This window comes from Homo sapiens, chromosome 16, assembly GCF_000001405.40.
Source record: "Homo sapiens chromosome 16, GRCh38.p14 Primary Assembly".
Lineage (NCBI taxonomy): Eukaryota > Metazoa > Chordata > Mammalia > Primates > Hominidae > Homo > Homo sapiens.
This window is the reverse complement of record NC_000016.10, coordinates 75,584,136-75,596,546: the sequence shown is the minus strand read 5'-3', so window position 1 is coordinate 75,596,546 and position 12,411 is coordinate 75,584,136. Positions and strand designations below refer to the sequence as shown.

General features: G+C 44.8%; 3 annotated features.

Moving 5' to 3' along the window:
* Positions 1,460–2,456: an enhancer, noted in NCBI's record as "OCT4-NANOG-H3K27ac-H3K4me1 hESC enhancer chr16:75627989-75628985 (GRCh37/hg19 assembly coordinates)". NCBI's record gives its function as "activates a minimal SCP1, AML or CMV promoter by ChIP-STARR-seq in naive and primed H9 embryonic stem cells {active_cell/tissue: H9 hESC(naive and primed)}" and the evidence as "EXISTENCE:reporter gene assay evidence [ECO:0000049][PMID:30033119]".
* Positions 2,457–3,454: an enhancer, noted in NCBI's record as "OCT4-NANOG-H3K27ac-H3K4me1 hESC enhancer chr16:75626991-75627988 (GRCh37/hg19 assembly coordinates)". NCBI's record gives its function as "activates a minimal SCP1, AML or CMV promoter by ChIP-STARR-seq in naive and primed H9 embryonic stem cells {active_cell/tissue: H9 hESC(naive and primed)}" and the evidence as "EXISTENCE:reporter gene assay evidence [ECO:0000049][PMID:30033119]".
* Positions 12,305–12,354: an enhancer, noted in NCBI's record as "active region_11142". NCBI's record gives its function as "activates an Ori minimal core promoter by ATAC-STARR-seq in GM12878 lymphoblastoid cells {active_cell/tissue: GM12878}" and the evidence as "EXISTENCE:reporter gene assay evidence [ECO:0000049][PMID:35858748]".

Sequence of the window (12,411 nt, the reverse complement as noted above, 5' to 3'; positions counted from 1 at the left end):
GGTTTCACCGTGTTAACCAGGATTGTCTCGATCTCCTGACCTTGTGATCCGCCTGCCTCAGCCTCCCAAAGTGCTGGGATTACAGGCGTGAGCCACCGCTGCCAGCCTGTGAGCATATATTCTTAAAATGTTTTTTTAATTACAGAAATAATACATGTATGTCATAAGAAGTTATCCTTGAATTTTTTTCCATAAGAAATCCTTTTAGATAGGAAAGAAAGAAGGCCAGGCATAGTGGCACCTGTAATCCTAACACTTTGGGAGGCCAAGGTGGGCGGATAGCTTGAGGCCAGGAGTTCGAGACCAGCCTGGCCAACATGGCGAAACCCCGTCTCTACTAAAAATACAAAAATTAGCTGGGCGTGGTGGCGCATGCCTGTAGTCCCAGCTACTTGGGGGACTGAGGCACGAGAATCGCTTGAACCTGGGAGGCGGAGGTTTCAGTGAGCTGAGATCGCACCACTGCACTCAAACCTGGGCAACAAAGTGAGACTCTGTCTCAAAGAAAAAAAAAAAAAAAAAGGCAATGACCAACATGGAGAAACCCCGTCTCTACTAAAAATACAAAATTAGCTGGGCGTGGTTGTACATGCCTGTAATCCCAGCTACTCGGGAGACTGAGGCAGGAAAATCGCTTGAACCCAGGAGGCGGAGGTTGTGGTGAGCCAAGATTGTGCCATTGCACTCCAGCCTGGGCAATAAGAGTGAAACTCCGTCTCAAAAAAAAAAAAAGCAAAAATATCACTACTTGAAGGCCAGGATCTCCAGTATTCTGCTTTAATCAGTTTCTTTTGCCTGGCCCCAAATCTTACATTATGACAGCAGCTGGGACACCTGGGCTGTCGGGAGCTTTTATCTAAAGGATGATGCGTCTCTCTCTTATGAGATCTTAGTTTAAAGGATAAAGACTTATATTAAAACGTAAAAGGATAATGTTTTTTATGCCTAAATTTTATGTTAAATTTTCACCCCCCAAAAAAACCAACAAATTTAGACTTCAGAATAGAGACTAGAAAAAAAACATGAAGGCTAGAGACTAAAGGCAGCTTCACTTTGGACTGTACCTGTTTTCTCAAGAGCTAAAAGTAGGTGCTTAAACCATCCTACATTTTATTTTAATCTCTAAAAACCCAGGTTTAAAATCTCATCTGTGCCTTACAATCACATCTCTGCAATCTTGGCAGGCTCTCAGATTTCATATATTTATAAAATGTGTTTTTACTGTTTTTTATTTTTAACGGCAAGTGAAAGGATTTTTATTTTACTAATGTTTCTTAACCTATATTTGGCTGATAACTGCTTCTAATTTTTAAATACATTTTCTTTTTTGAACTTGTTATGGAAATTTTTAGTCACAAATATAGACTAGCACAGTGGACTCCCTGAACCACCACTCAAACTTAGCAAACGTCAGCTTTATTGCTGCTCTTGTTTGATCTATTGCCTCGTCCCCGCCAATATTTTTTTCTTTGACCATTTAAAGCAAATCCTAACCATCGTATTTCACCCAACAGAATTAATATCCTTAATATCTAATATGTAGTCTGCTCAGTTTTCCCATGTTGTCTCAAAAATGTATTTTGACTGTTTATTTGTTCAAATTAAGATCTAAATAAGAGCCACACTGTGCATTTGATTGATGGGGTCTTTTGTCTCTTTAAATCTGTAACAGTTACCCTTTTTTCTGTGTTGAAAGGTGGGTTTTTTGTCCTGTAGAATTTCCCACATTTTGTATTTCACTGCTCATTTCCTCCCAGTGTTGTTTAAAGGTTCCTGTCTCCCCAGTATTTCCTAAAAATGTGCAGTTACACAAAGAGCCTTGATTAGATTCAGGTGCGGTTGATCTGACATAAGTACTTCCTGAGTGACTCTGCATCTTTGTTTTGCATCATATGGAGAGGAACGTGACATCTGGTGGTTCCACACGCTGTGACTGAGCAATGGGGTCTGTGGTGTCAGTCTGGTCTTTTCCATTATAAAGTACCCCACTAACCTTCCACCTGATGGTTCTAGCAGCCGTGTCAGGGGTCCCTGAGACCACCCTCATGCTTGATGATTCACAAGATAGATTCACAGAACTCTGAAAAGCTGCTATACACATCATTCCTGTTTATTTTAGTGAAAGGATACAGATTAAAATCAGCAAACGGAGAAGGTGCGTGAGCGAAGTCCAGCAGAAAACAAGCACAAGCTTCCAGTTGTACCCTCAATATGAACCGTGCGTGTTTGATTCTTTGACATGGGAGGGGCCTTGCTCACTCGGTGGAGAGATTGTTCCTCCCAAGGCTAGCCAATTCCTGGAGAGAGTAAATGACTCACCTATGACTGCTCCTTTCATATGTAAACCAACCAATCTGGAGCCCATACCCCAATCTCTCCTTTACAGGACGTCTCATACTCTGAGCCAATATCCCATACTCTGGGATATCCACCTGCCCTAATCACCGCAGGGCCAGGTACCAGAAAGCTAGGGACAGCCCCTAGGCCCCACAGCCTGCTGAAATTATTCGAACTCGCCAGTCTGTTTACTCGGCCTTGCCCCTTCCTTCCCATGGAGATCACAAGGCTCTTACTCCACTTGATCCCATCGTTCCCTCTACCTCCTCACTGACCCTGGGCTTCCAGTGTGGCTCCCTGTGGCGTGCCATGCCCCTTTTGGAATCTGTAAGTACAACAAGCTTTCTTGTCAATGGCAGTCACCTGATCTATTGCCCTCACCATACTTGAATAATAATAAAACCTATATTTTATATTTTTTTATCTTACTTTTTTGGAGACGGGTGTCTTGCTGTGTTGCCCAGGCTAGTCTCGAATGCTTGAGCTCAAATGATCTTCCCACCTTGGCCTTCCATAGTGCTGGGATTACAGGCATGAGCCACCACGTCGGGCCACCTAAAACCTATATTTTAAAACACTCCCCCAGTGGTGTCGCACAGACAGCACTTAATCCTCCCAGCAATGATGTATGGCAGTATGTGCCAGTTGTTGCCAATTATAGAAGCTCGCTGAGCCTTGGATGCTGCTAACGTCGCATGATGCACAGGACAACTGCCCTGTCCCCACCCCCACTCCCCACAAATAATTATCTGGCTCAAAATGTCAGTCATGCTGAGGTTAAGAAACCCTGCTTCTAACAATTGTCTTTTAAGTCACTTGAAATAGTTCCTCTCTAGTTATTGCTCCAAATCTGTACATAATTTTACTTTCAGTTTTTAGGGATACCTTTTAAAAAATTATGTAAAATGTTTGTATGATTCCAAAGTTGAAACTAGTTTTGTTTTGTTTTTTATTTTTTTATTTTATTTTATTTATTTATTTATTTTTTGAGACAGAGTCTTGCTCTGTCACCCAGGCTAGAGTGCAGTGGTGCGATCACGACTCACTGCAAGCTCCGTCTCCTGGGTTCACGCCATTCTCCTGCCTCAGCCTCCTGAGTAGCTGGGACTACAGGCGCCCACCACCATGCCCAGCTAATTTTTTGTATTTTTAGTAGAGACGGTGTTTCACCGTGTTAGCCAGGATGGTCTCGATCTCCTGACCTCATGATCCGCCCGCCTCGGCCTCCCAAAGTGCTGGGATTACAGGCGTGAGCCACTGCGCCCGGCCCCCTTGTTTGTTTTTTAAAAAATAGAGACGGGGTCTCACTATGATGGCCAGATTGGTCTTTAATTCCTGGCCTCAAACGATCCTCCCATCTTGGCCTCCCAGAGTGCTAGGATTACAGGCATGAGCTACCACACCTGGCTAGAACTAGTTTTCTTTGAAGAAAGGTACACTCAGAGAGGTCTTTCATCCTTGTCCCCTCCCTGGTTTTTTCTTCACTCTAGCAGTAGTCATAAATCCATATCATATATACAACAATTTGTATTTTTGCCACTGTATCTTTTGGATAGTCTTAGAAGTGGGATTGTTGGGTCAAAGATTAAATAAACATATAATTTTGCTTGATTTAAATATATCTTCTAAGTTCTGTTTCTAAATACAGTGAATCCAAAGAAAGCAAAGCACAGAACAGCATTACAACCATGCCATTTATATTAAAAAAGCATGAAAGAGGCCGGGCGCAGTGGCTCATGCCTGTAATCCCAGCACTTTGGGAGACTGAGGCAGGCGGATCACCTGAGGTTGGGAGTTCAGGAGCAGCCTGGCCAACATGGAGAAACCTCGTCTCTACTAAAAATTAAAAATTAGCCGGGCGTAGTGGTGCATGCCTATAATCCCAGCTACTCGGGAGGCTGTCAGGAGAATCGCTTGAACCCGAGAGGCGGAGGTTGTGGTGAGCCAAGATCAGGCCATTGCACTCCAGGCTGGGCAACAAGAGCAAAACTCCGTTTCAAAAAAAAAAAAGGCATGAAAGATATGTAACTGTTTAGCTTGTATATACTAAAGTATCTCTGAATCGACTTACAAGAAACCAGTCATCGAACAGGAAAAAGGATGGCTGGGGTCCAAGGAGTGGGAGGGAGACTTTTTACTGAATACCTTTTAAAAAAAATTTTTTTTTTAATTATTATACTTTAAGTTTTAGGGTACATGTGCACATTGTGCAGGTTAGTTACATATGTATACATGTGCCATGCTGGTGCGCTGCACCCACTAACTCGTCATCTAGCATTAGGTATATCTCCCAATGCTATCCCTCCCCCCTCCCCCCACCCCACAACAGGCCCCAGAGTGTGATGTTCCCCTTCCTGTGTCCATGTGTTCTCATTGTTCAGTTCCCACCTATGAGTGAGAATATGCTGTGTTTGGTTTTACCCTTTTAAAATTTTGAACCATGTTAATTATATTTTTTAAATAAATTTTTTAAATGAAATAAAAATTAGTGGAAAAAGATTTCTCTATCTTAAACTGCATTAACACCAGAAAACACGTAGAGGCAATGTTGCATAGGGAAGAGGAACCTCACAAGCTGCTTTAGGCAGCTGAATTCCGCAGAATTACTGTCTTCTGGAATTTGGCTCTTTCAGGGAAGTTTAAACTTTCAGCATTGCTGTTTATTCTGTGCCCATAAGTGGGTTCTAATGTTATGACTGTGTTGCATAATTTGTATTTTCTTCATAATTTTCAAAACTTGGCTTGATTTAAATAATTGTATAGGTTTCATGTAGTCATTTCTGCATAGGGTTAAACGCCTTGTTTTATGGAGTTGATCAGCGCCAAGCATGAGCTCACTGTCTGGGGAAACAAGGCTGCTATGGAGATAATGACCAACCCTGGCTGCCAGTGCCTCTGGTCGGAAGAAATGCAAGCCCTGTCTGATTTGGTAGTGTCTGTGGCTGGGGGAAAGCTGCCTCCACCTGGACCTTGGCAAGACTTTTTGGATTTAAGACAGTGTTCTGAGCAAGCCTTAGCCAAAATTTTCCAGCTCCTAAAACCCACTTCCCTTGCTGGCTAGTTAAATGGCTTAGGACAGTGTTATCTTTTCAACTGCCACTGCCTCCTGAGATGGTGTCTGGGAAAGCCAGAGGAGCTGTTAAAATGAGTCCCACCGCAGCAGAAAAGCTATTGAAACCAGGAGACAGCTTCCAACTGGAAAAATACTTAGTATCTAAGTGCTTACTTTCAAGAGCTCAAGCAGCTCTTCCCATAGGCGGCTATCCCGAAGGAATGGTTGAATACAGAAACAGCCAAGGAGGCAGATATTTTAGACAAAGTACATTTATTTTCCAGAAAGAGTAGTTTTTTTAATACCCCATATTGAAGAATTGTTGACCTTCACATCCTATAAATGTGAATCCTTTTAAACTTAAACGTGTCTGTACTGGGGCTGAGACTGACTTGCTGTAACACCATCCAGATGAATCCAAAACAAATCTTTATACCTATGGTCCAAAAGTGGTAGGAAAATTCTGTAAAGATTTAAGGGCTTCAGGCAAAGTTGTTTGAATTCAATTTTTATTTCTTAAAACTGGGGACCCAAAATGAATCAAAAGGGATAGATGTCAGATGAGTGGTTATTGCCTGATGTGGTGGGGGATGGGGAGCAGGCGGTTGAGTTAGAAAGAGGCACAGGAGCACCCTCTGGGAGATGGAAACATCCTGTGTTTTGATTGGAGCGTTGATTATATTGGTGTAAACATTTGTCGAAATTAAGTCTACACGTTAATGTTCGTGTACTTTACGTAATTATACCTCAAATTTAAAATGCAAAAAAACAAAAACATAGCCCTTATTACTTTGTGTAGTAGAATAAAACTGGGCCTAGATACTCAAGCAATTGTGTCCTAGTACCAGTTCTGCCACTAACTTCTATGTGTATGTGGGGAAAGTATGTAACCTCTACTTATAACTTCTCATCTGTCCTACCAAATTAGATCCTCGCATTTAGGATGCTCAGTTTTTTTCAACTGTTAGGTAGGATTCTCATAAAAATTATTAATTGGATAGATAATACAAAGAGAAATTTTCTCTAGGAAACTGCCCATTGTTGATGTGACTACATATGGCCTCAGTCATGTTGGTGACAAGGGAGGGATGAAAATAACTTTTTTGTTTTTTAGACAGAGTTTCACTCTTGTTGTCCAGGCTGGAGTACACCGGCGTGATCTGGGCTTACCACAACCTCCACCTCCTGGGTTCAAGCGATTCTCCTGCCTCAGCCTCCCGAGTACCTGGGATTACAGGCATGTGCCACCATGCCCGGCTAATTTTGTATTTTTAGTAGAGATGGGGTTTCTCCATGAAGGTCAGGCTGGTCTCGAACTCTCGACCTCAGGTGATCCTCCCGCCTCTGCCTGCCAAAGTGCTGGGATTACAGGCATGAGCCACCGCACCCGGCCTGAAAATAAATTTTGTCTCAATCGACTAACCTGGGCTCTGAATTTGGGTATGGATTTTTTGCCCCTCATTCATATGAGCCAGTAGGGTTAGGAATCAGCTTTTAGAACAAGCCTGTCCGGCACTGCTTTTCAGTGACCAAATGCAGGGAAATGTCTCTGTGGGAGGAAAGGGAGTGGCAGAAAGTCACTCCAAGTGGGACCCAGGCTGCCAAATGTTGGTCTCCAGCACATGTTCCCTGTACTTGGGCTCAGCTCCGGAAGGGGAAGAGCTCACAATGGAAACAGTGATGGCCATTTGCTCAGGCAGCCAAGAGAATGAAAAGCACATTGAAACTAAGCAGTGTCTCCACAGGAGAGGTACGGTGGGCCCCTTGCTGGTGAAACCAACCTGACAACAGGCAGGATCACAGAGCCATTCCCAACATTTTTCTTCAGTTCAACAACAAGACCTTTCTGTGCAACCTCTCAAGAAATCTCTGGCAAATGATACTGTGGGCAGTATTACTAAGCTTTACCCAACAATAGAGGCACACTCAGTCCAGTTCACCCGTTTGCTCTGAATTCGATTTTGTTAATTGAAAGAGCTTTTCTTAATGTAAGTTTCGGGACGTGCATCCCCCAACCCAAAGTTTCATCAACTTCCCTGTTTATTGCTGCCTCTTGTGAACCTTTTTGACCTCCAGTGAATGCCTTTTCAGCTGGCATTTTCATGCTGTACTTTTGTTCTTCAGCTTACCCAGTGCCACTGTGAATGTCCTTCTTTACTAACATGTCAGTAACTGCTGGGCTGTGAAGCCAGCTGACAGTGGGAGAAGGCAGTCGGGGTGATGGAGTGGCAAGTGCAGTTAAACCAGCTCTGATGACAGTGCTCACTCACCTGTGCTAAAGCAGGTAGGTGGTGCCGCCCGGCTCTGTGCCTCCTTCATGAAAGATGAGAGCTGCTATGGTCTGAATGTTTGTGTCCCCCCAGATTCCTATGTTGAAATCGTAACTCCCAGAATTATGGTATCAGAGGTGGGGTCTTTGGGAGGTGATTAGATCTTAAGAGCAGAGCCCGGCCAGGCATGGTGGCTCACGTCTGTAATCCCAACACTTTGGGAGGCGGAGGCAGGTGGATCACCTCAGGTCAGGAGTTTGAGACCAGCCTGGCCAACATGGTGAAACGCCATCTCTACTAAAAAAACAAAAATCAGCTGGGCGTGGTGGCGGGCGCCTGTAATCCCAGCTACTCGGTAGGTTGAGGCAGGAGAACCATTTGAACCCAGGAGAAGGAGGTTGCAGTGACCTGAGATCGCGCCATTGCACTCCAGCCTGGGCAACAAGAGCAAAACTCCGTCTCAAAAAAAGAAAAAACGCAGAGCCCTCATGAATGGGATTAGTGTCCTTATCAAAGAGACTCCAGAAATTCCTTACCTCTTCCGCCATGTGAGGACACAATGAGAAGATGGCTGTCTATAAACCAGGAATCTGGCTCTCACTAGACACCAAATCACACCTTGATCTTGGACTTCCCAGCCTCCAGAATGGTAAGAAATAGAGCTATATTGTTTATTAACTATTCAGTCTATGGTGTTTTGTTACAGCAGCCCAAACAACAAGGGCCCACGTGGCTTAGTATTTTGCTTGCATATACTTTGAGGGAATTATTTTGTAAAATAAATGGGCCGGGCATGGTGGCTCACACCTGTAATCCAAGCACTTTGGGAGGTCAAGGTGGGCAGATCACTTAAAGTCAGGAGTTAAGACCAGCCTGGCCAACATGGTGAAACCCCACCTCTATTAAAAATATAAAAATTAGCCGGGCATGGTGGCAGGCGCCTGTAATCCAAGCTACTGGGGAGGCTGAGGCAGGAGAATCTCTTGAACCTGGGAGGCAGAGGTGGCAGTGAGCCAAGATTGCGCCATCGCATTCCAGCCTGGGCAACAAGAGCGAAACTCTGTCTGAAAATAAAATAAAAACTAGGCCAGGCATGGTGGCTCATGCTTATAATTCCAGCACTTTGGGAGGCTGAGGTGGGTGGATCACCTGCGGTCAGCAGTTCCAGACCAGCCTGGCTAACATGGCAAAACCCCATCTCTACTAAAAATACAAAAATTAGCTGGGCATAGTGGTGCATGCCTGTAATGCTAGCTACTCGGGAGACTGAGGCACAAGAATCTCTTGAACCTGGGAGGCAGAGGTTGCAGTGAACCAAGATCGTGCCACTGCACTCCAGCCTAGATGACAGAGACTCTGTCTCCAAAAAACAAAACATATTAAAACTAGCTGGGCAAGTTAATCCTGTAATCCCAGCTATTCAGGAGGCTGAGACAGGAGAATCATTTGAACCCGGGAGGCGGAGGTTGCAGTTAGCCGAGGTTGCAGTGAGCCGAGATTGCACCACTGCACTCCAAGCTGAGTGACAGAGCGAGACTCTGTCTCAAAAATAAATAAATGACAGTGTGTAGACTATGGTGCGATGGTCACAAACCCAGTCTTTTCAGGAGCAGGAAACTTAAGGCAGGTGGAATGAACTGGAACCGTTTTTGTTGTTGTTCTAGCTGATTGTTGCTAGATCTTAAGAATTTTTTCAGGAGAAGCAAGAAAATTAGGTATTTATATACATGTCTGTGGGCCACATTTAAACACAGCCCTTTAATTCTCACTGTCTGGACTAGCAAAATAAAGATGGGTTTTGGCATTAGACCGAAGTGTGAATTTTGGCACCAGGATGTCCTAGTTGTGTGATGTTGGGTAGGTAACTTCATTCTCAAAGTGTCAGTGTCCTCTCCTTTGAAATGAGGGCAGCTCTGCCCACTTGGCAATGGGGTTGTGATAGGTATAGGAGGGCTGTCTACCACACATGCAGTGACTAGCACTTAGGAAACTCCAGCTGAGGTCGTCTGTCTGCCAGCTTCTAAGTGACTCCTTCCAATTTGCTAGTCCCATTTTCCAGAGCTTTTGCTAATAAACATGACTGTCCTCAGGAGAAGCCTATTGGGCAGATGTTTGTAGAGTGTCATGCTGCACACCAGGTGTCTGCACATGTGTTTGCACCGCTCCATCCCACATCTGGAAGCAACAGCTCCAGGTGAAGGAGCAAAGCTGTCGATCACAGAGGTGTATGTGGATCCTCCGACCAAACTGTGGCTTTGCTTCCTCAGTGTCAGCCACCAGGATTGGTTTTAGGTGTGTTAGGCCATTCTTGCATTGCTATAAATAAATAGCTGAGACTGGGTAATTTATAAGAAAAGACATTTGGCTAGGCAAGGTGGCTCACGCCTGTAATCCCAGCACTTTGAGAGCCCAAGGCCGGTGGATTACTTGAGGTCAGAAGTTCGAGACCAGCCTGACCAACATGGTGAAACCCCGTCTCTACTAAAAATACAAAAAAAAATTAGCCAGGCGTGGTGGTGGGCACCTGTAATCCCAGCTACTCAGGAGGCTGAGGCAGGAGAATCACTTGAACCTGGGAGGTGGAGGTTGCAGTGAGCAGAGATCTTGCCACTGCACTTCAGCCTGGGTGACAGAGTGAGACTCTGTCTCAAAAAAAAAAAAAAAAAAAAGAAAAGAAAAGACGTTTAATTGGCTCACAGTTCTGCAGGCTGTACAGGAAACAGTGCTAGCATCTGCTTCTGGGGAGGCCTCAGGAAGCTTTACTCATGATGGAAGGTGAAGCGGGAGCAGGCGTCTCACATGGTGAAAGCAGGAGCAAGAGAGAGAGTGGAGGCAGGTGCCACACACCTTGAAATGACCAGATATTGTGAAAACTATCACGAAGACAGTACCAATCATGAGGGATCTGCCCCATGATCCAAACACCTCCCACGAGGCCTCACCTCCAGCATTTAGGATTATAATTCAACTTGAGATTTGGGCAGGGACAAACATCCAAACTATAAGAAATAAGGATGAAAAAGGGAATCAGTTGTACATTTTAAGGCTTTCCTTTTTTCTGTTTAAGGAAGAATGAGTCTTTTGAGAATAAGAACATTTATATTGCCTCCTTCCAAATTCTCCTTGAAAGAGATCCTCTGGCCACCTTTGGGATTGCACAAGCCTGTCTCATGCCCTCTTTGGGGCCAGTGTGTTTCAGCTGCTGCTGCAAAAGTAAGATGTGTCAGTGCTTGTTAAGTAGGCTCTCAGTTCCAGGTAAGAGCAGTCATACACCTAGATGCCATCAATGTGCCAGGCATTTTGCTCTGCAGCCGGGGTACAAGGATAAGGGAGAGTCCTCATGTTGCTCCTGAGTAAAGGAGGATGGCAAGTGACTTCATAGTGAAAGAGTGCAGTGTGAGGATGACTGTGACAAAGGTCTAATACCCAACCTGGGAGAAGGGTGCAGGGTTCTTAGTAAACAACTGGTGAAGGGGAAATATTAGTGGCTAGCAAGCAAAAAGAATTGGGGGTACATTTGGCAACAGTTTAGAGGGAAGGGTATTTACAGTGGAGAGACATCATAATCAAAGGCTAGAGGTGAGAGCACAGCATGGCTGGGCTAGTGGAGTATGGGGGACGCTGGGGATGAGGCTGGAGGTCACAGCAGGGAGGACTCTGAGTGCCTTGCAAAGGAGAATAGTTTTATCCTGACCGCTCTGCACTTCAGTGATTTTGAGAGATGGGTGCTAAGATGAAGTTACATTTTACAAAGATAACTCTTTGCTGTAGCAAGGAGAACAGACTGCAGGAGCAGGGATGGTGGTGAGGTGACCATAGTTGGGGGATTACTGTAGTAACTTCAAGAGAAATGATGAGGCCCAGGCAATAGAGGCTTGAGGAACCACAGTGAGGGGCTGACTTCAGAAACAGGCAGAGGGCGAGGTGAGTGCAGGGAGTGGAAGAGGGAGTGGTTGAAGATGACTCCCAGGTTGTCGTGTTGGTGACAGAATGGAACGCTGTGCCATGGATCGTGAAATGGGACCCAGGAAGAGAAGCTGGTGTTGGGGGGCCAGGAGATGTAGGCAGGGGATGTGCCCAGTTTCAGAGGTTAAGATTTTGGCAGGATAAGGGCCCATAGTGGGCATTTACACGGACTGGTTTAGTGCTCAGGAGAGAGATGACATTGAGATAAAAATTTTGGAGTCATCATTAAAGACATGGGTTAGATGAAATCATCTACAGAGAATGTGCAGATAGAGAAGAGGAGACACTGGTGAGGAGGGAACCCTGGGGAAATGGAGACTTCAGGAGCGGGTAGAAAAGCATAGAAACGAGAGTGACTGAGAGACCAGAGGAAAATCAGGAGAAAGCCAATTAGGAGCTTCCAGGAGAGAGTAACGTAAAGTATAGGGGAGGATCCCTTGAGGCCAGGAGTTTGAGACCAACCTGGCAACATAGTGACACCCCATTGCTACAAAAAAAAAAAATGAAAATTAGCTGGGTGTGGTGGCAAGTATCCACGGGCGGGGGACAAGGTTATTTTGGTAAGCCTAGCAAACTCTGGGGCAGAGAAGTGGAGGGGTAGAAGCTTGCCTATCTTGAGCTGAGGAGGGAGGAGGAAGTGAGAAATGGAGGCAGCCAGATGCTCTCCTTTGAGAAGGACCTAATTCCTATTCTCATTGGTGTAACTTAAAAACAAAACAAAAGTGATTAAATATTTCAAACATAAAAGTAAAATGAAGCTGGGCATGGTGATATGTGCCTGTAATC